Source organism: Homo sapiens, chromosome 2, assembly GCF_000001405.40.
Source record: "Homo sapiens chromosome 2, GRCh38.p14 Primary Assembly".
NCBI lineage: Eukaryota > Metazoa > Chordata > Mammalia > Primates > Hominidae > Homo > Homo sapiens.
The window spans coordinates 122477822-122505110 of record NC_000002.12 but is presented as its reverse complement, the minus strand read 5'-3'; the positions used below and the strand labels follow the sequence as shown (position 1 = coordinate 122505110).

General features: G+C 36.9%; 1 long non-coding RNA gene across 3 annotated transcripts; it reads left to right on the top strand.

The window, feature by feature from the left end:
* LOC105373593 (uncharacterized) lies at positions 1–26994 on the top strand. 3 transcript variants are annotated; one of them, XR_923287.4, is made up of 3 exons: positions 35–145; positions 957–1971; positions 13388–13451. It is a non-coding gene; the product is annotated as an uncharacterized LOC105373593 (long non-coding RNA). The 3 variants fall into 3 exon arrangements; XR_923286.4 differs by lacking the exon at positions 13388–13451 and adding an exon at positions 2262–2485; XR_007087223.1 differs by lacking the exons at positions 957–1971; positions 13388–13451 and adding an exon at positions 26732–26994 and having other exon boundaries at positions 1–145.
* Positions 26995–27289: the final 295 nt, after the last annotated feature.

Sequence of the window (27289 nt, the reverse complement as noted above, 5' to 3'; positions counted from 1 at the left end):
AAAGTTTCTGAGAAGGGAGAGAAATGGAGGGAAGTGAGACATGACTAAGATGTAGGTAAAAAGGAATAAAGGTTTTCCCTGCTCAAAACTCTCATGAAGAAATTAATGGAGAAGGAAAGCACAAAGCATGCTTGAAAGAAAGCAAGTAAGTAAACTAATTTGATTGAGTAATCTTCATGGAAAGGATTAGAGGGGGTTAAACTGCAAATGAGAAATGAAAAAGAATAAAGTAATTTGTATGGCTTATTTTTACACTTCCTGATATACTATGCTAAATGTGTATGCATATGTGGATCAGGACAAAGAAGGAAAAAATGCACAAAACCTTGACAAAATTGCTGTCACCAAAATATCCTGCAAATCTTCATACTACTCCATTAACTAATGCAACTTACATCTTCAACCTAAAGTAAAACTTGAAAATCAAATAGAATTTCATTTGCTGAAACAAAAAGTCATAGAATTCATTTCTACATCGCATTTATTTTAATAGTTTACTGAAGGAACTGACTTTAAATATCAGCAACAAGGAGAATAAATTTTTAAAAGTAAATCAACAATGAGAATAGGAAATAGAAACACATTTTATGTTTGGTATAACATTCTCTAGTATTATATTACAAGCATATTAACTTTTTCTGGCTGCAAATTTAAGTTCACTCTTATGATCAAAGCTCTTTCTCATTGCCCTTGTTGGATGTTATTCAGGGGTCATAAGAAGATCCTCCAAATTTTATTTGTTTACTTTTAAAATGTCCAATATCGAGAAAAAGAAAAACAATTCTTTTCATTAGATGTCATTATATGTTATGGCCAGATGTTCTCACCAGCAAATGCTTTAGGTATTCTCCTACCTAAATGTGAGATTTAGAAGTCACAGTTATCCCATAATAGCATGTCTTGCATTTGTGCCTAAAATTTCGCATCATTATGTTTTTCCCTTTCTCTGAGTAAAGGAGTCTTCTTATAAGTATCACCTCCCATGGAGTGATAAGAAGTCAAACTCATCCATCATGTCAGTGGGAAGAGAAGGTATAAATGATAGAAGAGATCCAAGTTTATCAGGAAAGGATAAAGGGCAGCTTACAATTTGGATCAAAACGGCAAATTTTGATACATCTGCCTACGCTGTCCCTCACAGCAAGCCTGGAGACATTAGAAAATAAAAATATAAGGTGTCAGAATGGATGTAAACTAGAAGAAAACAGAAATACTTGGAAAACTGAAGATACGTGGGTCTCACTATACAGAAAAATGGTGGCTGGGAGAAGAACAGAGCTAGGGCCTAAGAGACCCGAATAGGGCCTGAGCCCAGCTGGGGTGGGAAAACTGTAGCAGTTTGGAGCTACACCCTTTGCCTTCTGACAGAGCACCCTGGGCATGAGCTGATTGATGCCCCACACGCTCACACCCCCATGGATGTTCTCACATGGTATGTGAGCACACTGGTTGTTGTTGCTGGCCAGGTAAACACTCAGAATAGTGAGTTATACAAATAAGTACAGGGATATGATATTACCTGAAGGTCCACCTTGTACATGTTCCTGGTGTGAGAGCAGTAGCGTTACCCAGATGCAGGAAGACAATGACAGAACAAGGCCATGAAAAGGATGGCTACACACAGAGCAGCTTTTGTATAGCTATACCATTTATCTTGGACCTGGCAATTGAGACTAAAGAAAGGTGTTATCAGACAAAAGTAGTGCTTTGGGAAGTAGGAAGAAGACACCTTGGGTGCAAAAAAATGCCATGAAGAATTGAAATGGTTGAAGCTCATATTAGAGTACTTGTTTCAGACATCTGTCTTGCTCTTCAGCCCCTACTTTTACCAAGAGAGAGGAGGAAAAGTCTAGAGAGCAAACAGACTCAAGAAAACAAACCTGAGCTTGGGACAAAAACAATCTTACAGTATTGATAAAGCTCAAGCATTGAGAAAGAAAAGCAAAAAGAGGCCTATCTGTAACACAAGAGGTGAGTATTGGAGGAGGGATTTTAAAACAAACATTATTAGTATTTAAGAAAGATATAGAGGCACCTGCAAACATCAAGTAGGACAAGTTGTTATGGATAAGAAACAGTTGGGAGATATTGGACACGAAAAATAACGTTTTTGAAAGAATTCATGAACACCAATTAGCTGCCTCTCTAGCACACAATGTCTCCCATGCCCAGTGGCCCATGATTCCTATTGGCTTATGTGTGGTTTTCAAAGAACATGGCCTTGGATAGCTAACAAATATGTGTTGTCTCCCTTGCTACAGTGACTGATTTGTGCATTGGCATGTAATCTAAAGTGGTCAAATCAATGTGACTGTCAGATTCCTCCAGGGACTTGTGGGACATAGATGCTTCTCACTTTCTCTGGGTGATGTGGTATGAAGCCTAAAACCATTTCTCTACCATGATTGAAGTCAGCCTGAGCATAAAGTCTACACATGAAGATCAGATCTGAGCCCTGCTGATACTACAGCTGAAGACTGTTACATTTTGGTTGCACAAGCCATTAAGTTCTCATCTTTAAGATAAAATTTGTTTATTTTATGCTTGAAAAAAAGTGCTCAAACTGATAATAATAAGTTGAATTATAGAACAGATGGGTTCAAAACGAAAATTAGTGAGCTTAAAAGTAGGATTAAGAATATCTTTCCAAAAGCAGCATGAGGAAATAAAGAATGAAAAGTATTAAAAAATAAAGCTAAGAAAAATGTAAAAGCAAAAGTGTCAAACTGTCTAAAGAGAAGAATTAGTGACAAATGAATAATAATATATTTTTTAAGTTAATATTTGTGTTTTTAAAAGATATTAGATTTCAATTTTCTTAAAATAAGCTTGGCACTCTCTAATTTTTTTTAGTGAGAGTTCGAAGAGTGCCAAGCTTTTTAGGAGACTTGAGACATCCCCTGCAAAGTCATGCAAGGTCCCAGAAAATGCATAATACAGAGACTTTCTCTGATAGAACTTTTGGGAGAAGAGTTACAGTAATGTAATAAATGATTCCATGAGAAGACAAGAAGAAGGAGAATCAAAAACAGGGAAAGAAATTACCATTTTAATTTAACAACAGATGATATTGAGTGATGCACCATTTTGTGCCACCAAGAAAAAAAAAAGATCAAACTATGACAACATGCTCTCTTCCCACATTTATATTCTGAGGGATACTTATTTAAAAGTTAAAGTGTTATTTTTAAATGTGTCTTAGAACCCACAAAGTACAAATGCAAGGTATATTTCTGACTACAGGAAAAATATAACCTCATCATGAATATCTGCAACAATTTGAGATTAAAACTTCAGGCAAAACTGTCATTTAAATTGATGGTTTGGGGAGGTAACGATAAGAGAGTGGCAAAGCATTATAAAACTATTGCTTTTCCCCTAGGAGAGTATATAGTATTAATAACCTTCAATAACTGGGCAAAATGTGTATACATACATGCCTTAATAAATTAGGCACAATTTATAGCTAGAAATAGAAATAGGTAGAAAAAGAAAAAGAAAGAAAATAAATCTACCTAACAATAGTCGGAAAAAGAAATAAAACAAAGCAAAGAGAAAGCATACTAATTATAAAATAAGAGAAAAAGTGGCAGAAATAAGTTCACTTTTATCTGTTTTTATGATATACACATATAGATAGATTAACCAAGTAAAAGACACATTTATTAGTTTTAATAAAATAGAACTAATAATATATATTTAAAAGATGAAGAAAATATGGCAAGATTGAAAACAAAGAGATGGGAAAAATATAATTAACAAATGTTAAAATAATACAAGCTAGTCAGTTTATTATGACAAAATAGTATTCAAATAAATATTAAAATATGACAAAAAATAGTGCATAGTGACTTAAGGAAAAAATGATACCAAGCAGATACAATATTCATAACCTTATATTACATAATTATGTAGCCTTAAACTATGTAATATATCAAACAACAAAATAAGGAAAACACATAAGCTACAAATGTAGTTGGAATTTTTACACACACATGTAAACATATTCACATACACACATCCCAAAACACGCTATTCTCAAAATTATGCTAGTTTATAGATTTGAGCAGCATGCTTATCAAGTATAATCTAGTGGATACATTTTACAGTTCTTGTGCTATTCATTAAGACTCTGTATTTCTCTCAAAAGCATGTAAAATAGTGAAATAATTCATACAGGAAATCTCAATACATTTTAATGCACAAACTTTTTTTTCTGACAACAATCCAATTAACCTGAAAATCAGTGTCAAATAGATAACAAAAACCATTTTCAAGTTTGGAAAATTTAAAATCATACTTTCATCTAACCAATGGGTTGAAGGTGAAATCTTGAGAGTATTAAGTTCTTCATGCAAGATAGTTAAATTTCAAAATATCAGAATGTTTATTTAGTGGGAAAAACAGTGATTCTAAATGTGTTTATTTAAAAAAAATAAATCCTGGGTGCAGTGACTAGCACTTGAAATCCCAACACTTTGGTAGGCAGAGGCAGAAGGATTGTTTTAGCCCAGGAGTTTGCTAACAGCCTGTGCAATATAGAGAGACCCTATCTCTACAAAAAATAAAAAATTAGCCAGTGTTGTGGCACATGCCTATAGTCTAAGTCATGTGGATTGCTTGAGCCCAGGAGGTGGAGGCTACAGTGAGCCATGATCTCACCATTTCACTCCAGTCTGGGCAACAGAGTGAGATCCTATCTCACAAAAAGAAAGGAAGGAAGGAAGGAAGGAAGGAAGGAAGGAAGGAAGGAAGGAAGGAAGGAAGGAAGGGAGGGAGTGAGGGAGGGAGGGAGGGAGGGAAGGAGGCAGGGAGAGAGGGACGGGAGGGAGGGAGAGAAAGATAGAGAGAAAGAAAAAAAGATACAAAATAAATGAGCTTGAGTGTTTGCATTAACGAAGTAAATAAACCATAAACATAAATTTAAAGAAATTAGAAAAGAGATCAAGAAATATATCACAAATCCACGAATTAGAAAACAACAAAACAATACAAATGATCAGTACATTTAATAAGATAAACCTCTGAAAGCACAGATCATTTAAAAACAAGTAAGCATAAAAAGCAGTAACAACAGAGAGAAGAGTTACTAAAAAGCAAAAAAGCAAAAGCCAGAAAGAGAGAGAGACAGAGAAAACTAAACACAAATATAGAAGCAATCTTAAAATAATAGAACATTTTGGAAAAAAAATAAGCCACAACCCAAAAATGCATTTAACAGGAATAAATATGGAATAAATTAGGAATAAGAGACTGCCAGAATTGTCACAAAAAGGAATAGAGAATGGATTTAAAAACTAAGTTAATAAAAGCCATAAAAACATGAAGTGATCATCAACAATCCTCCACAACCACGCTACCTCTAAAATTTCCGGGTCTAAATGGCTTACAAGTAGATTTTCCCATACTTCAAAAAACAAAGTCACACTCATAAATGAGTTGTTCCCAAACTAGAAAAACAATGAAAATTCTCAGCTTTTTAAATGATATTAATAATGCTTAACACTTAGATGAGATAATAAAATGCAAAGATAAAAAATACAGACTAATTTTTCTTTTGAGCATAGATGCAAAAATTTTAAATTATATTTTAGTTGATGCAAACCATGAGTATATGAAGCAAAATGTAATTTCATGTAGATTTTTCTCAGGAACGCAGAATCAAATAAATTGTTACATTCTTATCAATCATTTTATGTCATGAAATTAACAGGTTAAAGTAGAAAAACACAAAATCACATCACAGAGGTCAAAATGACATTTAATAACTTCAAGACATATTCCCAAATTTAAACTATCTAAAGATAAGTAGAAATAGAAGGGAATCTCCTTAACCTGATAAATGCTATTTACGAAAACCTTATAGCAAACATCACACGTAATGCAGAAACTGAAGAATCATTTCATTTAAAGTAAGTAGTAAAATAAGAATGTCTTTAACAAGAGAGAATAAAATTATAGAAATTGAAAGAAAAGAAATAAAATTACTGTATATGCAGATTATATAGTCATGTTGACAAGATATTAGAGCTAATTTAAAAATTCAGCAAGATTGCTAGGTAACAAAATAACCTATAAAATTCTGAAGTGTTTCTCAATAACCATAATGAAAAAGGAAAATTATAATAGAATACTATATTCAATATCAACAATAAGATAATCACTATAGTATAAAGGAATTAACCTACCAACAAGAGAAAGAGGATAAGGCCTCTATGAAGAAAAGTTTGATTCTTTGTTTGTTTTCATTTTTTGTTTTTTGTTGGTATTTTTTTTTGAGACAGAGTCTTGCTCTGTCACCCAGGCTGGACTGCAGTGGCCAATCTCGGCTGACTGCAGCCTCTGCCTCCTGGGTTCAAGTGATTCTCCTGCCTCAGCTACCCAAGTAGCTGGGATTACTGGGATGTGCCAGCACGCCTGGATAATTTTTGTATTTTTAGTAGAAACAGGGTTTTATCATGTTGGCCAGGCTGGTCTTGAACTTCTGGCCTCAAGTGATCCACCTGCCTTGGCCTCCCAGACTGCTGGGATTACAGGTGTGAATCACCATGCTTAGCCTAAAGAAACTTTTAAAATCTATGCACATATACAAAAACCTATAACCAGAGAGATTATACTGTGTTTGTGTGTAAGAGGGTTTAATGTTATAAAGACGTCAGTTCTATATCAACTTAATCTATAATTTAATGTCCTTCCAATAAAATCCCCAATGAATATATTGTAGATTTGAGAAATTCTTTTATGAAATATATATGGAATAATTAGACATAAATAGTGAGTGCAATCTCACTAAAGTTACCTTACCAACTACTCAGACATACTTCTAGGCCATGGTAATTTAAACAATACTTTTTTGGCACCAAAATGGAAAAAATAAAGATGAAAGTAACCAACCTAAAACAGACACACACATGCATGCGAACTTTTATTATAATAAATATTGCATCAAAAATTAGTGCAGAAGACAGCTGCTTTGATGTGCCATGCTCTAGGTAGTAGAACATTATTTTATTTTTACTACGACGAAAACAAAGTGTAAAATGGCAGATGTAAATCCATCTATATCAATAATAACATTAAAAGTAAATGGTTTAAAAATCTAACCAAAAGGTAGAATGGATATTTTTAAAAATTAGGATTCAGCTATATACTATCAATAATACATTGAAAATAAAATCTGAAATATTATAAATATACACATATATACCATAGAAACAACAAATACAAGAAAGCTGAAATTGTTATATTAATTTCAGGCAAAATAGACATTTAAATAAAAATATGTCATCAGAGATAAAAAGGACCATTTAATAGTAATAAAATGATCAATCTATCAGGACAATATAACAATTATCATCATATATGCACCTTACAAGAGTCCCAAAATTATGAATCAAAAACTTACATAAACAAAGTGAAAAATAGACATTCCAACAATAGGCACTTCAATATCACCCTCTCAATAAGGAATAGATCAACGAGGCAGCATATCAAAAATAAAATTGAGAAATGGGAAAACACTTTAAGCCAACTAGACTTAGTAAGTATCTAGGTAATTTTTTTAACCAATCACAGCAAAACATACCTTCTACTCAAAAGCACATGAAACACTCTCCAGGATAAGCCATGTGCTAGCTCATAAAATAAACCTCAATAAATATTTAAAATAATAAAATTATGCAAAATATATTTTCATACTACAGTGGAATGCAATAAGAAAATAACAGAAGGAAATTTGAAAAATTATTATATAAAAATTAAACACTTTAGAATTTCAAAGAAGAAATTAAGTGAAAAATTAGAAAGCACTAATGATATTAATAATTATTATTATACAGCATACCAAAATTTTTGTGATACAAGCAAAGCAATGTGTAGAGGATAACTTATAGCTCTAAAATGTCTACATTTAAAAAAAATCTCAAATCACTAATCTATGAGAAAAATAAAAGAAAAAATTAAACCTAAACCAAAAATAAGGATAGAATAAAAACTATGGCAGAAATTAATAAAATAGAGAATAGAAAAACAAGAGAAAATTAATGAAACCAAAAGCTAGTTCTTCGAAAAGATTAACAAAATCAGCAAACTATTAGCTAGTTTAACCAAGGAACACAGTGCAAAAGCTCAAATTACTAGAAACAGAAATGAGAGAGAAAACAATACCAACAACCTTGCACAAATAAGAGGAATTATAGATAAATACTGTGAAAAATTCATGGCTATAAATTAGATAACTTAGATAAAATAAACAAATTATTAAAAAGAGATAAACTACCAAAACTGATTTAAGGTTCACTGGTTATTTCTATCAAACACTTGAATAATTAAACATTAATTCTTCAAAAGCTCTTCCAAACAGTAGAACGGAACACTTCCCAACGCATGATATGAAGCCAGTGTTATCCTGATACCAAAACTACACAAAGATACCATGATAAAAAAAATCTACAAACCATTATCTCCTTTTTTTTTTTTTTTTTTTTTTTTGAGATGGAGTCTCTCTCTGTCACCCAGGCTGGAGTGCAGTGGCGCGATCTCAGCTCACTGCAAGCTCCGCCTCCAGGGTTCATGCCATTCGCCTGCCTCAACCTCCCGAGTAGCTGGGACTACAGGAGCCCGCCATCACGCCAGGCTAATTTTTTGCATTTTTAGTAGAGACAGGGTTTCACCGTGTTAGCCAGGATGGTCTCGATCTCCTGACCTCATGATCTGCCCACCTCGGCCTCCCAAAGTGCTGGGATTACAGGCGTGAGCCACCGTGCCTGACCACCATTATCTCTTATGTTTATAGAGAACAGAAATCTTCAACACAATACTAGCTAACCATATCTAGCAACATAGAAACAGAATAATACATTATAACCAAGTGAGATCTATCCCAAAGATGCAAGGGAAATTTAACATCTGAAAAATCATGTAAACGAAATAAGAAACCAAAAGCATGATATTGTCTAAACAGCTACAGAAAGCATATTGATGAAACATAACACACATTCATGATAAAACACTAAGCAAACTAGAAATAGAAGGAAATATTCTTACCTTGTGAAAGTCACCTGTGAAAATCCCGTAAGAGACCTCACACTTAATAGTGAAAATCTGGATGCTTTCCTCATAAGGTCAGAAACAAGTCAAAAATGTCTGCTCTTGGCTTTTCTATTCAACATTGTATGTGAGGTACTAGTCAGAGCAGTTGGGAAAGAAAGAGAATTAAAAAGCATCTAGATTGTGAAAAACGATGCAAAACTATCTCTACAGCACATGTTAATGTATATAGAAAATCCTAAGTGATCCACTAAAAAACGATCAGAACTAATAAGTGAGTTCGTCAAGGCTGCAGGACACATCAGTGCACACAAATCAGCAGGATTTCTATACACTTGCAATGAACAATCCAAAAATTAAGAAAGTAATTTCATTTCCAATAGCATCAAAAAATAATTAGGAATAAATTTAAGAAAAATATGCAAGACGTGTACACTGAAAACTACAAATGTTGTTAAAAATTTTTTTAAATGTCTAAATAAATGAAAAAACAGCTCACGTTCATGTATCAGAAGGCTTATGATTGTTAGGATAGCAATAGTCTCCAAATTTGTCTACAAACTTGATGCAATCCCTATCAGAATCCTAGCTGTCTTCTTTGTAGAAATTGATAATTTGGTTCTAAAATTTATATGGAATTGCAAGGGGCCCACGATAACTAAAACAACCTTATTACAATGCAACAATAATCAAGATGGTGTGGTACTTGCAACAGGGTGGGCACGTAGATCAATGGAATAAAATTAAGAGTCAAGAAAAGTTGTTTCTATTTGATTCTTCTCTCTTTTCTTCTTTATTAATCTGGCCAGCAGTCTATCTATTTTGTTAATCTTTTCAAAAACCCAGCTCCCAGATTCATTGATTTTTTGAAGGGTTTTTTTGTGTGTGTTTCTCTATCTCTTTCAGTTCTGCTCTAACAGAAATAACAAGAAATTAGTTATTTCTTGTCTTCTGCTAGCTTTTGAATTTGTTTGCTCTTGCTTCTCTAGTTCTTTTAATTGTGATGTTAGGGTGTTGATTTTAGATCTTTCCTGCTTTCTCCTGTGGGCATTTAGTGCTATAAATTTCCCTGTAAACACTGCTTTAGCTGTGTCCCAGAGATCCTGGTATGTTGTGTCTTTGTTCTCATTGGTTTCAAAGCACTTACTTATTTCTGTCTTACTTTCGTTATTTACCCAGTAGCCATTCAGGAGCAAAGTTTCTCTAAATATGGAAAAAAGTATTTTTATTCCAGGTTTGCAGTGACATTTCTGTATCCAGCTTCTAGATGCTGGATACACCCATGCCCCATGGATGCATAATTGTTAGTCAGTTCTTTTGATAATTACAAAAAGAGTTTCCAGTCCAAATCCAAATTGGTGTATCCTGATACATTCTTCACAAGACAAAATCTTCCATCTACCACATTTGAATCAGATTACAAAACCTTAGGAAATGAGTCAGTTCTTATTTAAGTTAACAACAAATTTTCTACAGATTAAAGTCCTAAAAGAAAATTTATTTTCAAGGAAACAAAGTGTATATCTAGACTACAGGACCAGAGGAATAGGAAGAGTGATGGCTGAGTATTTATGCTTTAAAGAAAATGCTCTCCTCTTCTCCAGCGTCTTAAATATTGCCTCCCTCAATCATTCCTTCATGTGATTAAACACTCTTGACTTTCCCAAGCTTTTTCTCATGCATCAAATTTGCTGCACAACCCTTGACCAGAGAATGGGACAACACTGTTACAAATAGTGTAGTACATCTGACAGGCTACACGAAATCAAAAAGATAGAGCCATCGATATGTGCCCAGAAGCCTAAATGACAACATCGTTTTCACTCTAAAACACCATGCGGGCCCTGGTTCTTTTGTCCTCAAACACAAATGACACAAACTCACGTTTTAGGAGCTTCACACTTGTAAATTGTTTTCATCTTGTGCTGTTCAAGTGAGGTTGAGTTTAAACGAGCATGAAGACATTGAAGAGATGTCAGGGAGGCAGTCAATGGAAAAGAGGTTTGGTGTATGAGGTCTGCGTTTTATGTATATGGCCAAATTTATAAGTGTTACTGACAGGGAAGAGGGGAGGATGGGAGGAGTCTTTAGGATGTATAATATTTAATGGCCAGTAAGAGAGGGAGAAGAGATGTCAGTGAAAAACAAGGCAGGGCAGAGTTGGGTCCAAGCGCAGAGGATTCATATGAAGGAATGGTCAACAAGACCAACTGCTTGTAAGATGTCAAGATTGATGAAGACTAAACATTGTCCGTAAGATTTAGTGATTTGGGAGTCAATGTTAACCTACCAATTAGGACTTCACAAGATAGATAAAAGTGAAGAGGGAATAGACAGTAAAAAAATAGAGATTACAAATATAGAAGATAGGTGGTAAAGAGGAAGAAAAAGTAATTTATTCTTATGTTTAGATAGAGAAGAGAGCTTTTTAAATTTTTTTATTTTCTTTTGATGCTTTTTGTTTTTTGAAATAATTTTTAAGTCAATGTGATGTGTTAACTTCAGAAGGAGATGTTTATTATATAAGAGTTGTGGACTTTTCAATAATTTATAATTCCTGGATAAAAGGACAGCTGTTGGAATCCATAGAAAAGGAAAATAATTAAATTTAGGTAAAAAGGTGATAAGTGGTTTGTGTCCAATGGTAACTTTTAAGAATTACTGCCAAGTTAATGCATATATTTTTACTGTTTTCAGTCATCACCATAGATTCACCAAAATATACTACTTATCTATTGTCCAGTTTACAGGTGATAAAACCAAAACCAAGGGAGTCTAGCTAATCCAGGTGATAGGGGAAAAGTAAAAGAATCAAAATGTATATCTGGCCGAAAGCTTAACATAATGTTTCCAGACAAGGAGTTGGAAATTTTTTCCTATAATAAATATTTTAGGTTTCACAGGTCCTATGGCCCCATTATAACTACTTAACACTGCACACATAGCATTTATAGATTATGCACACACAAATAAACAGGACTGTGTTCCAGGTTAAACTTTAGTTATGGACTCTGAAATTTGAAATGTATATTATTTTACATGTCATGAAATATTTTTCTTTTGATATTTCTTAGCCATTCTAAAAATGTAAAAAATATTTCTAGCTCCTGGACCATTCAAAAACAGGCAGTCAGGCAGAATGACCCATGACCATGTAGTTTGCTGACCCCTGCACTGAGCGACACTGTCACCCCAGGGCTATTCTGTATCTCATGGTGACTCTGTTCTACCACTCTATTTCAAATAGCTTACCACCTGCTTTAGCAAAATCTGTATGGTCTTCTAATGTCTAATCCTCTTCATATTTTTCAGTCACATTTGCATTCCTCCCCTAGACATATTTGTACTAATATTTTTTGTCATTCTAAATCAGCCACCCTCTTTCTCTCTCCCTCTGTCTCTCACTTTGTAAATCTCTTCTTCACTTCCTAGGCCATTCTTGCATCTTTGCTTCTCTGAGCACATTGCAAAATCCTCAGCAGTCCCATTTTACATCATGCCACAAAGACTTCCAGCTGGGCAAAGGTATAGTCCACTCATATGCTATTCACTTGTCTCTGTCCTGCTTGGCAAGCTACTTTTTTCACTTAAGATAACTTTCCTTTGTGCACTTCTAGTTCCAAAGTTCAAAGAAAGAGAAAATATGTAATTATACCATGCCTGTCCTATCTCAGCAAGTCTTCTGATATCAAGAGTTTATTTGTCATGTTGCTGACCAGAGGGGAAGGTGTACCCATTAGTGCCAAGGCTTTGATAGATCTCAGCACACGGAAATATTCCTGGGGGCTATGTTTCATCTCAAGCGTATGACTGAATTAATCCCCAGGTTATGCCACAACTTTCCTTTGACACTTAGGTAATAAATAAGACATACTTTTAAAATAACTTTCCCTTTAGGCTAGAATATTTCTGACAACTGACTTGACTCTGATTTGCTTTCATCCAGAAGGAACTTGTTGTCAAGGAGCCTCTTGTTCATGACTTAGGGGCTGAATACGAGCCCCCATCTCCTAGACTGCAGCCCTGAATTAGGTCTTTCTCTGAATAAATTCTTAATTATCTTTCTACTTAGCTGTAAGCTCATTAATAATCTACTAGACTGTGCAGCCACTTAAGTCCCTAAGGCTTTGATTCCTCAAAAATGCAAACTGAATACCTTAAGTATAATGTTTGCAAAAGTAGATCACGTCAGGATATTAAAAAGAGCCTTGGAATCAACTTTATTCCTTTGTGTAAAGAACGTATAAATGTATCATATTTCACATGAAAAAGTCCACTGTGATATTCTAAGTACTCAAATCTTTTCTAAACATAATGTTATTTCTATCTCATGTACAAGTTTTGAGGAACTGCTGCTGAGACTGAAAGAGGAAATCTAAAAAGAGAGAGCATGGACAAGTGGGGACTGGAGACTGAACAGCAAGAACTGTTTGGTTCATTTACCCCACGGAAAAATTGTGAAACCAGTGGGGTCTTTATGAGTTTTTAGGTTGACATCTGAAATTTGTAACATAATTCTAATAACTGCAAAAGATATGGTTTCCCATGTATTACATGTTTTATAATACTTTAAATATATTTTGATCGAAATCGGCAGAGTTTGTTCATTCAATTAGTGGGAAACTCCAGTTTTCAATCAAACCTATCAGCCAAAGAGGTTAAATTTCTGAGAGACAACATCTGACTTCATTTCTAGAGTCAATCAACTTGGTACTACATATGGCTTCTATGAGCTCCTTGCTGCTGAGTGAGAATTCTGAGATGTTAACCACCTTGCTCTGGCATGGTGCCTTGTCTGGACATGCTTCCTCACAGAAACAAAGCCTTTGTCCTCAGGAAGGAAACATGCTTGAGCTGTCCTTTTGTTGAGTGCCCAAGAGGTTTTACACACTGGGTCAGAGCAATTTCCAGATAGCTGAGAGCGGTGCTTGCCTTTTCCCACTGTTTCCTGTAGAGTAAAAAAAGAGCAATTGACAAAGGGGAATGGAGAAGAACTGACAGAGGGACTCTTGAGCAGAATAATCTTAGGGACGAATACAGATGGAAGTTAACAATCTAGAAATGTATTTTCTTATAGCTATCCAGGCTCTCTGGAAAATATTGCCATGTCCATAGGGATATATATGCCCAGTGATAAATCTCTAAAGAAGACACGAAGAAATAAGAGAAGGGCAAGATGAGAGACAAGACACCAACTCCCAAAGAAAATTGCCGAGTTTCTCAACCCTTCAAGGGCCATTTGAGAGCAACTTGGTGTTGTGCAAGTCACTGTATGCAGTATGCAGAGCAGACAGAATTTGCTGCGGGATATGAAGCTCACCAAGCGACCAAGGGATCTAACTGGAACCGGCAGAGAAGAGCCCTTTAGAAGTAGAAGTGAGAGAATGTTCCTAACTGATTCACAGACACAGCACTTCCCAGCACTCCCGGTGAGAGCCAGAAAACCCGGGGGTCCAAACCTAAAAGACAGGGGACATCAACAAGGCTGAGATGATCCATTTTGCCCAAAGATTTGTAATCTCTTTATGTGGGCTACCCATACAATGTCTGAAACGTGTTTTATGGCATTCTGTCAAATTCTTTGTTGTACGATTGCTGGGTTTTCAGATACCCTCAAGAGTCCTGAGAAAGGTGAACAGGCCACCTGGCAATGCTCTGCAAAACTAATTAGTGAGGGGAAGTATTGAAAAATCACTCAGATGGCAGTGTGGCAATTACAAACCATTGAAAGTGTGAGGCAGATGGTGAAGTTCTTATGTTGTCTTACTTATCGGTTCAACAAAATCATACCAATTGCCCACCATGTGCACAGCACAACTAATAATGAAATAATTATTTCATTATTAATGAAAATGAAATAATGAAATAATTCATTATTTGAATTATTGAAAAGGCAGGTATGCAATAATGAATAATGAAAAGGCAGGTATGCAAATTCATAAAATGCAATACAGGAAGTCTGATTTTACTGGACAAACACTATCAGCATGAGCAATTCACGAGTGTGACACTGCCATCTTAGCCATCTAATCTTCCACCACTGCTCAGCATTTTCTCACTTCTGGACATTCCTCAAACCCTTCCTCTACCCGAATATTCTACCAGGTCCTTGGCTTCCTCTCCCCATGGGGGTGAAATCATGTGCATGCTGCTTGACACATAAACACATCTGGCCACATTACTTCCATGCACATTGCTGTGGATTCATGCACCACACTGCATCATCTTTGTCTTCCTATATCCCCCAGCAGTTCATAGAGAAAAACGTGGCCAGGACCATGTCTTACTCTTCTTTATACATTGAATGTTTGACAATGTCTGACACATTGCAGGCATAATAGGATCAAATCCCACTATCAAAGCCAAATGAGGTGTGCCTGATTACCCCTTAATCTTGAGGATTCCTTTCCTCTTCTCCCACACCACTCTTGATATATCTAAGGACTGCTCTCAAACACTGCATGTATGGTAGTTACTTGTATAGTCTACTAATCCAACTACACTCTTGGGAAAAAGAAATATATTTTGCTTTTCTTTGTAACCTCCACAGAATCCACCAGAAAAGGGAACAAGACCTTCTGCTTACATAGCCCAAGCTAACAAAGCCAAGCAGCACTTCCCACTGCTCCAATCTTTGTCTGCACCTGTCTCTCCTATGGTCACTTAATTACAGCCACTTGGACTTCTGTTCTGACCCTTAAGCCCTGCTCAAACTCATTCGCATCCCAGGGCCTTCACAATTGTTGCTCTGTCTGCCTGGAACATCGGCCCCTTGCTCCTCAGAGCTCAGCTCTTTTGATTCCTTCAACACTAAGCTTAAATAGTATTTCCTAAAGAATCATCCTCAACCATTCTCACATCAGTGGCCCTACCACAGGCTCATCATTTCTTTTATGTCACCTGGCTTTTTTCTCTTGTTTATTTATTACTCCCATGCTCCTCCCCTCAACACACACACACACACACACACACACACTAGAATGTATGGTCAGCCAGGAGAGTCCTGGTCTGTCCATTGTCACTGCTTTACCCCAAGTAAAGTGCCTAGAACAAAGTAGGTGTATAACAAATATTATCAATTGAATAAATAAATTATAAAATATTAGGTAATTCAAGAATTATTGCTGGAATAAAAAATAAAGAAAGAAATAAAGTCATTGTATCCCATCTTCATTCGCTGTTTCAACATACATAAAAACATGTTCTGAATAATAAATTGATTTATTGATATCTACATTGATACCTTAGCAAAACTGAAAATCACTAGGTGTTGGGACCTTGGGAGAAATGGACGTTTCTCAAAAAATGAGTACTAGACAAAATTCAATCTAAAACTGCATTAAAAACAAGTCACATTGCATTAAATTGGAAAGCAATATAACACATTATTCAATTAAACCCCAGAACCCACTAACTAAAACCTCAATGAATTGAAAATATAGTGGGGCTCCACTTTTGTGCAAAGCATATGTACATCTTAGCAGCTGGGCCATGATTTGCCATCCCTTAAGAAGGTTATGCCCCATGATCAAATCTGTGAACAGACATTTGTGAAGATGCAATTGTGTGCTAGGCCCCGGGCTCAGCATAAATGGCACATACACAGAGAAGAGACAGTGGACAGTCAGGAAAGAATAGAATAGTAAGGAATGGGGAAGAGGTTTGTTGTTGGGGAGACTTCCCAGAGGAGATAATGTACATATACGTGACGATCTACTTTGGGAAGGAAAACCACTAGGACAAAGTAAGAACCGGTACTAGCCCAAGGGAACAGCTGCTGCAAGGGAAAACCGAATGAGGTCAGGCTATGCTCCTGCCCAACTAGGTTGGCAGCAATAAGCAAAGAGAACTGAAAAAAAAAGTAAAAGATAAGATATTTAATATCACTTAAAAAATTCACGAGGTCAGGAGATTGAGACCATCCTGGCTAACACGGTGAAACCCCATCTCTACTAAAAATAGAAAAAACTAGCCAGGCATGGTGGCACGCGCCTGTAGTCCCAGCTACTCAGGAGGCCGAGGCAGAGAATCACTTGAACCCAGGAGGCAGAGGCAGCAGTGAGCCGAGATCACGCCACTGCACTCCAGCCTGGGTGATAGAGCAAGACTCAGTTTCAAAAAAAAAAAAAAATCAAGTATAGTTATAAGCTAAGAATGAAATCCCAGAAGTTTTAAGACTTTTAAAAACAAACACTGACATAAACAAAGTTTTTGAGTACAAACTAATTGATTAGACATTTAACCTAAGCCCTAGTCCTCATAATAGAATTACTTAATAAACTTTTAATTTTGGAATAATTTGGGGTTTATAGAAAATATACAAAGATATACCAAGAGTTCCCATATGCCCTTCACCCAGTTCTCGCTAGTGCTATGGCTCACACTGCCATGGACTGTGGGGGCTCAGAACATGATATCTCAAAGCATGGTCCTCTGGCGTGCAGAGTACTTTGAGCTAAAGGACTGGAAGAGCCTCAGAAGCAAACCCTTTCTGACCTTTTCCTTTTCTCCTGACTCCCACCCCTGTTCCTTCTCCTGAAGAGTTTCACAGAAATCAGAATTCCTCTCTCCTAAGCCAGGTCATAAAAACTTGAACTCTTCCCCAAATTCGCCATAAAACTTAGAAAGTTCACTCCCTGACCCTCTCCCTCTCTCTCGAAGACCCTCATGTGACAGGTGTCCTGTCTTATACCCATAGGAAAGGAAGGTCACACAGAGGCCAGGAAGAATCCAAACAGACAGGCCTTGCCAGGCTCCCCCTCTTTAGATCACACTCTTTGGCCCAGTCACATTTCTACATGACTGCCTGTTTTTCATCAAACCTCAGAATAAAAATGCACATTTCCCTTGAGTCTTTGGGTCTTCATTTCTGAAGGCTCTCATAACACATAAAACTTTGATTAAATAAATTTGCATGCTTTTCTCTTGTTAATCCATCTTTTGTTATAGGAGTGTCTGCTGTGACCTTATTGATGGGTGAGGAAAGGGACCACACCTTTCCATCCCTACAGTACAGTTGTCAAAATTAAGAAACTGACATTGGCATATTACTACAGACTTTATTCAGATTTCATCGAGTTTTTCACTAAGGCCCTTTATGTGTTTCAGGATCAAATCCAGAATACTCCATTGCCTTTAGCCAACATAGTATTTTAAATCACAACCTTACTGTTAATGTTAATGGGGATAAGATTAACTATACTTATAAATTCTAAAAAGAAAGATGTCATAGCACAATGAATCATAGTCACCCGTTGACTTTTGTTTTTAATAAAAGGGTGCTGTACTATGCAAAACCTATTTCCTAGTAAAGCATGGTTGGAAAATTGTCCTTTGATTTAAAATTAACTTTTCTTGTTGACTTTCATTATAATTTCAGAATATTTTATCCTTGTTGCTGAATGAGCTTCAATAGACAGTGGTTCCTAACACTTAGCTTTAATTTCCCTCTTTTCATACCCTTGAGCAGTTAATGATCTACAAACATATTCTTACTTGCATTAAGATGTTGATGCGGCTTTCTTCTTTTGTAATTTTTTTTTAATCTGTCCTTTTTGGAAATTAACTGTGTATGAGGTTTTCTAAGAATGCATTCACAGAGGGGTATTTTGATCTTATTTTCACATAGAGCTAATTATGCTGAATGGAATCATCTCACCACTGTAAAGTGAGCTCATGCTCTGTGATTTGTGCAAGTCCCTCAGCCTCCCCACACCTCATCCCAGTGAAAGGGAGAAAGGGGAACTCCACGAAAGTGGGATCCCAACCAAGTTCTGATAGACAATGGGGAAAAGGAGACTCAGCAGAAATGAAATAAACATGTGACATGAATATAATATTCTATTTAAATATATTGTATTTCACTAAGCGTAATAACATCCTTTTAGTCACTCACTCTTTCCTTCCCTTCCTTTCCTTTTATTAATAGAAGTAAGATGTAGCAAATTAATTTAAGTGCCTGCCATTGTCCTCCCATTTCCTCTCTCTCCCAAAGTCTTCCCCCAACATAAAACCTTTTTCACTTTTTTTTTTGGTATTATAGTCCTTATTTTGATATTTTAATGAAATACACTATTAAGGCATATGTTACACACATACATACACCCACAAACACACACACGCACACACACACACAGTTTGTCTGTTGGCTCAAATGGCAGAGTCAACCCAGATGAAAATGTGTAAGTCTGTAGGCTGCAAACAAGGCTTGTGTCTTTGCTGAACAACCTTGTTTGAAATCCATCCCATGACCTCCCACCCCCAGCCTTCTTTTCCCTGGAGATGACAAGGATAATCATGCATACCTAGCAAAGAGTTGATGTCAAGTAAATGGTGGCTTCAATTATTCAATTTTCCTCCTCAAGTTTCCTGTAATGGCACCGTATGCACCAGTAATGACTGCAGTTTTACTTTGGTTTGCTTTCAAGAGGAGAGCTTGGTTTGTTCTCAGTCCTTGTTCTGTACCCCTGCCTTGGGTGTTAGTAGAGGCTAATGAGTGGGAGGGGGCTTTCTAAACACAGAAAAAAGAATAAACTAAACTGTCAAGAGAAAAGAGTACAATCTATTAGAGGTTTTGATCACCCTATTTGTCACAGAGAAATAACAGATGCATTAATGCACACAGCATTTATAATTCAGAGATCATTGTTACACCAAATGACAAATGATGTTACTATAATGTACCATTTGTCTTTTCTCACATAGTTAAAAAACCATAATTACTAAAAATCATGACAACTTGCCAATTAAACAGACTCATTCACCCACAGATGAAGCATGCATCTTTGCATTTTGCAAATTAAATAGAGGTGTGTGGGGAGGATAAGAACCAAAGTGTGTGGTACAGTGATTTATTAGGAAGCTTGAACAGGTATACATTAAAAGTAAAATAATTTCTACCTGTTTTCTAGAGCATCTGAGCCACCTGAAAAAATTTCCAGTTGTAAAAAACAGTAATCTGTTTTCTCCCTAAAGACCTTCAGACTTCGTAACAATCTGACTAATAAAGTTAATCTAATCTCATCTGTCTTTTACATTTATTGTGCCAGTGAACAAATGATCTAATACAAGTAAAAAGAATGGATTAATCTTATATTATTTGAAAAAAGAATTTTAAATGTACATAAAACCACTGGGCACACCATTTTGGAAATAAATAATAAAATGCATTACCCCCAGAAAAACGGTACAGAAAGGGAGGAAGGAGTCCAGGATATGGCAACAGACAGCTGATTGAGTTCCTGAAAGGACTTGAGAGAAGGGCTGGTCAGGGCCAGCTAACATCCAGCCCTCATGAGGAGAGAAAAAGTGACAGTATATTTAATACATGGTGTTTCTGCTCTGGGTGACTTTGGGACCCAGGAGGATGAGCGCAGCCCTCTTAGCAAGTGGAGCTCAATTTTGTTCACATGTCACAAGAGTTTATGGATTCTGTAATACATGTCAATTCCTAGAAGTAGAAGCTTCCATTTGCCTTTGCCTGCTGACAGACCACCCCTTTATTTGGAAGAAACTACCTCTTTTGTTATACAATGTAAAATAAAGAGCCATTTCCTTGAGAGAGAGAGAGAGAGAGTGTGTGTGTGTGTGTGTCTTAAGGAAAAATAGTGTAAGACTGGGTGTGGTGGCTCACGCCTGTAATCTTAGCACTCTGGGAGGCTGAGGCGGGCAGATCACCTGAAGCCAGGAGTTCGAGACCAGCCTGGCCAATATGGTGAAACTCTGTCTCTACTAAAATACAAAAATAGCCAGGCCTCGTGGTGCATGCCTGTAATCCCAGTTACTCGGGAGGCTGAGGCAGGAGAGTCACTTGAACCCAGGAGGTAGAGGTTGCAGTGAGCCGAGATCGCGCCACTGCACTCCAGCCTGGGCGACAGAGCGAGACTCTGTCTCAAAAAACAACAACAACAATAACAATAACAACAACAACAAAAAAACAGTGTAGTAATCCAAATGCAGATATTTGAGGTTTGTTTAATAAGAAAAATTCTGTTGTGCATCAGCTAGAGGCCACCGTGGAGAATGTGGTTAGGTGCACAGGTCGTGGGGGCAGTGGGTAAAGATCTCATCCCAGGGTCCCCACATCTTATAGTGGCTGCCATAGGGAAATTCACTTAAGCTCTCTCTGCTTCCATTTTCTCCTCTTAAAATGAGCCTAATCACAGTACCCAATTCATAGGGCTATTGTGAGCATTCGTGAAATGAATCTCCTGCCCATGGTAGATGCTCAGTAAGTGCTGGGTGTTTGTTGGTGGGTGGGAAGGGATATTTATTTCCTCTGTTTGTGTTTAGACAGCAAAATTCTAAAATTGGTGTCTGGTTTGTTAGAAATGGATCTGATTTGCAGAAACCATTGCAATGAGGGAGTTAGCAGAAAAGTGGCCTTGCCGTCTGTTGGAGTGTGAGATTTGCCAGCTACAATTATAAAAAGGGCTAATTAATTTTAGAATGGATAAAACCCAAAAAGCAGTCTTCGTTTGCAAACAAAATTGTGTTACAGCCAGAGCTTTCATAAAGAAAAGTCCAAACACCCCAAACTCATCTTTGTATTTTGTGAGGATAGGATCATCATCAACAGCAAGAATATCTACTTCTTTGACAATAATGAAACTGGAAATGATAATTTAAGGAGGGAGCACCAGCATATGAGACTATAGAATTTCCATTTGCACTAGCTATCCTTCTCTTTACAGAGCTGTTTGAATTTCCCTTGGGAAAAGATGCAATGCAGACTGGCTTTGAAACTTGGACTCCTTGGCCAAAAAACATGCATATTTGTTTCCTTTTAATTTGTTCAAATGTATCATCAACACAACCAGAATCCCTGTGCAGTTGGTACTGGACTAGTTAATTAGCAAGTGTAAATAAACAGGTGAGAGAAAATAAATTTGCTGTTTAGAATATATTTTGCAATTTTTTGGCAAATAGTCAAAAGGACAGCTTTTACATTTCTAAAGAAGGAGAAGGTGACATATGACCTAGATAAATGTATGATCCTAATCTACTGTATTTCACCAACTCTTACTTAATGCAAGAAATGGAAATATTATCTCCACAGAACCATAGTAGTATCCCATAAGGAGGAGATTGGGAGAATAGAGAATTTTGGGGTCTGAGCTCAAGTGACTTAAGGCAGATCTTTCAGTGCAGGAAATCAATTGTCATTGGGCTTGGTTCATAAGGTCATGGTTTAGGACTGGTAGCACAATTCAGTGGGGTCTTGAAGTGAGTCTGAGGAATAGACTAGGTTGGATAGGCAAGCCAATAAGCAAGCCATTTGTATGGACAAATCAATTTGCAGAAATTCCCTGAAGCAGCCGGGAAGTTATTTATTGATTTATGCCTTTATCTTACTAAAAAAAAAAAAAGAATGTCCTGCAACAAATTGTGAAGTTATGTGTTTATAGTCAGCCTCAGTCCTCCATCCTGATAGTGAAGCTCTGCGAACACAGGTTGTCCCTTCTCTCCTGATACCATGTCAAGTGCCCTTTCCCTTGTACCACACTCTTCTGCTCTCTGCCCAGGGCCAGAACTTTGCTTTAACTACAGAATGCAAATTCCATTCTCGTGCCCTATGTCTCTTGCAAGTGCACAGCACTGAAGTTGAACACTTTAAAGCTCTCAGTCTCCAAATCCTGTCTGTGAGCTGGCTCTGAGCTGCTTGTGCTTTAATTCCCTGGGGAGTTTTTCTTTTCTCCTGGAACCCTTCATTTTTAATGTATCATATATTTTTCCAGAGGATGTGCACAGCTAGGTTTGTGAATCCTTGAACCAGGAGACAGAAATGAGTAATAATTCAGTGTTTCTTGAGGTGATTAAAGGCATAGAATACCTAAACACCTTCTTGTTCTTTCTATGACACCATGAAGAATGTCAGATTCAAATACTTGTAACTGAAATGATTATATATGGTATTTAGGACTACACTTCACTAGCAATAAGCAGTACCAGGTAAAAGGTTTAAATACAATGCACAGAAGATCTTTTTTAATTAAGAAAATTGCTCTCATCAACTTCTTCCCCTTAAAAGTTGAAGGAGGGAAAAAGGTGAGTCACATTGTGTCTGGATGAAGCATTAGACCACAGGGCCATGCAAACACAGAGAATGAGAACCACTGGGCTAGAAAGAAACACAGCTGGAAACTCAGTCTGTGAGGCTGCCTAAATAGCAGCTGTAGGGGATCACATTTGCATTCTGACAGGAAGTATGTTGCCATAATTTGGAGAAGATACAGGGGGTGAGAATTACTGGTTCTTTGTGACTGCAGGTATGAGAGATAATTTTTTTTTATATTTGAGGAATTCTAAGACTCCCTTGTCCTCAGGGGTAGGCAGCCATCTGTTTTGCCCATGACTACACTGGTCCTCTATTATAACTGGTATTTGTCTTATGCTTTCAGTTCAGGCAGGTTGGGCCAGGTTATGCCTCGGTAACAAACAGCCCCCAAATCTCTGTGATTTAACACATCAAGCATGCCCTTTTCCTTCACAATAAACATCAGTACAGTTCCACCAGGAGCTCCAACATTAATGGGGTTCCATCCCTGCATGGGCTTGTATGATGTGTTAGAAGAAAGGGCTGTTGGGAGTCATACACTGGCTCTCAAGCTTCCATCTGTAAGTAACACGGTTCACTTCCATTTCAATTTCATTCGCCAAAGTTAGTCACATGACCACACATAATTTCAAAAGGGGAAGAAAGTTTATCTCTTTCATATGCCCAGAAATAAGAGAACCAGAGCACATTATTTACCAACAGCCTCCAAATGTTAACTTAGGTTTGAGAAATAGACATTCTCACACTCAAATTGCAGCTCCAACAACAGCTAGTAGGTAGCCTGAAAAGTACTGAGAGAGAAAATGGGTCCCTAGAGAAGCTGTTTGCATTATCTCTCTGACGGTTTGTATTGATGGGCTGGGTTAAATTAAAAGGGCCAAAGCAGGAAAGACATTAGCTATCCCAATCTGTCCCATCCTTTAGTCAATGCCAAATCCTTCCCTGCTGTGAAATGTTCTATGACTGTCTCAGGCTGCATTGTTCTGTCTCGTTTCTTCAGTTATCACCAATACCTAACACATGGTCACTCTTTGATAACAATGGGGGAAGTGAATGAATGCTTGTAAATCAATATTCCGGGGGAAACAGTTCTCCTCTGTGCCACTCCACAAAGTGCCTAGGCCAAGGATGGGCACGCAGTACAAAAACCATAACTCTTTAACAGTTGATTGACTAAAAACAATAATAAACACGAAATTGATGGATGTGAGCTGAGCTCCTCATGGTTCCCTCAAAGAATAAATGCCATTTCTATTGAAAGCACATTGCTTACTCCTCCCACTCAGCCTGGCCACACAGAGTGAGTTGGAAGACTGCTGAATATAAATGACATTTGGCTGGGTCCTTGTGAGGACAGTCATTAATATTGCTAACAGGTCCATGTGTTAAACTTGGCCCAACACGGGCACCAGATGCATCCTCCCAGGCAACCTGGGGGCCCTTCTGATGACTCCTCCAGGCCAGGCACACTGCATCTGCTTGCATTCAGGCAGCCTGGCCACTTGGCTCGAGACAGAGCGTCCATGGCAAGAACGAACACTCTCCCAGCGAGGCTCTACTTCATGAAAAATGAATGTAGCTGGGGAGGTTGAGTCCTGCTGGCAGATCTGGTCTACAGATGGTGTACTTCTTCTAATGACTGGGGACAGCCGATTGAAAGATCATCTAGGCCTACTTCTGCAGTCCCAGAGGAGTTAGATAAATTCAACAGGGATTTATAATAATTGCATGCCTACTTTGTATCTAGCCCTGTGATCACGAAAATGGGCAATCAGAGATTCGGAAGAAAGATGAACTAAGGCGTCCTTTGACAAAGGTGTGATCTTAAAGTTGGACAGTGTGTAATGAGAGGAGGAAATAAATTCCTCACTGTGGTGAAGGGTTAAACATTTTTTAATAAATCTAATAAAGGATTCACATACATTATTTCTTTTAATATTTGCAATCGCCCTATGAATAGATACTAATATCTCCATTTTCCAGATGAGGAAACCAAGGCTCAGAGGTTACACGGCTTCCCCCAAAGTCTGACACTTGATAGAGTCAGGATTTAAACCTCTGATTCTGAAGGCCATGTTATGAGATTGTACCTTATATCTTGAGGGCTATTGAGTTCAAATAAGTCAGGCTCAGAATATGACGAATAATAAGAAACATTTCCAGAGTGCTCACTAGGCACCTGACAACTTCCTACGCCCTTTCCATGGAATAACTTATTTAACTTATAGCAACCCCATCAGTTCAGTACTAATATACCCTCACTTTATAAATAAGGAAACATGCACAGAGAGTTGAGATAATCAGCCCAAAGTCACACAATGAAGTGGAGTAGTAGGAATTTGAACCCAGATGAACACAGTTTGTCTTCCTGCCCACTACACTGTATTAGTAATACACGTAACGATCACTTCCTTCCCCTAAGCCTCCCCAAATATGTCCAGGACATTAACTGAGAGGGTTATTTATTGTTTTTATCTGTCTTGTCTCAAAATAGAAGTTTACAAACTTTTAGAAAACAACTTTCCCTGGCCTTAGTTTTCAAAACCTAGAGAAGGAGGGCTTTAAAGATTAGGTGTGGTCAAATCTGATAGATAGATAGATAGATAGATAGATAGATAGATAGATAGATAGATAATTGATAGACAGAGATAGATAGATGATAGATAGATGATAGACAGATAGATAGATAGATAGATAGATAGATAGATAGATAGATAGATAGATAATAGATAGATGCATATAGATTTTTTTAAAACTTCTGTCTAAACTAGGAAGCAAGTGGAGGAGGGAAGAGATCCCACAGGTGAAAGTGTTAGTTACTGCCCTCCTGAGAAAGGTGATAGGACTTCTATTAGTGATATTGCACAGTAGAAAGGCTGCACATGAGGAGGTAAGGCTCCTAGCCTCATGAATAATCTCATTGTACAAGTTTAATATAGAAACAGTAATGCAGTCAACTTCAAAAAACCACTCAGATTTAGACAATTACATTCCTGCTGACCATTGTAGACAGGCCATAGGGCCTGAGCCAAATGCTTTGGAATTTCGTGGTGCTTAAGGGTTCCAAAATGAATCTCAAGAGGGTAAGAGTTCTCCACAACAAAAAGATATTAAATTTCTTATCTACTGTGAGAAATAGGGGCCGGGACTCAGATTTCATTTAATTTGAAACAAAGAAATGGAAGGTTCTTAGATGTGAGTAAGGCAAGACCCTTTCTGTGTGTAGATATTATCTTGACATTCTGCAGTTTTAATATTTAGTACAGTATTAGCTTGAATATCTGAGAAATGCTTCCTTTCTCTTTTCCCTAATTCACACACACACACACACACACACACACACACACACACACAATGGAAGAAAAGAATAGAGAGGAAGAAAAATAACAAAGCTAGAAAGATTTGTAGTGGCAGATGCAAAAATGAATATTAACTGTTTTTCCAAGTAATAGAATCAGATGTTTAGTTTAGCAGGAGACTGTTGTGTATCTAATTTTTCCATTAAGATTTTCATAGAGAGAGACCTGATAACCACTTTTGCAGTGAATATTGCCGAGGTGTACTTGCATGGTTGAAGGGGAAGAAAATGAATATGTGCATTTAAAATTTTTATGATTACATTTTTAGTGAAAGGAGGAGGATGACTGGAGTTTCACAGCTGCTTTAATACAACTGGTTTCACTTAGAGAAGATGACATGTTGAAATGTGATGAGTAAAGATGTGCAGAATGCTTCCCCAGTAATTGGAATTCAAGCAACAATAACACTGGGCATTGTTGGATCCTTTACAACTTTAAGAAAAAGGTCTCCTTCCTTCATTTTGGAAAAAAGCGCACATATTATAGAACATCATGACTTTATTCAACATTAAAAAGAGAAATTAAAAATTATTTCACCTGAGTGCATCTGCATTTGAATCAAGCATATGCTTAAGTTTATGCAACTTCTAACGCACAATTTCTTCTTCCAACTTTCTATTGCTATAAAATGGCAGGATTTTAGAGCTGAATGAGTAATTTTGTGTCAAATTCTCACTTTAGAAATGAGGAGATAAAGGCCTAGGTAAGTAAGGTAATTTACCTATAGATACACAGTAAATTGATGGCAGAAATGGAACCAAGCTAAGAACTCCTGATTGTGCTTCTTGAATAGCCCAAGATGGGAGGGTCTGAGCAGTGGGAAAGA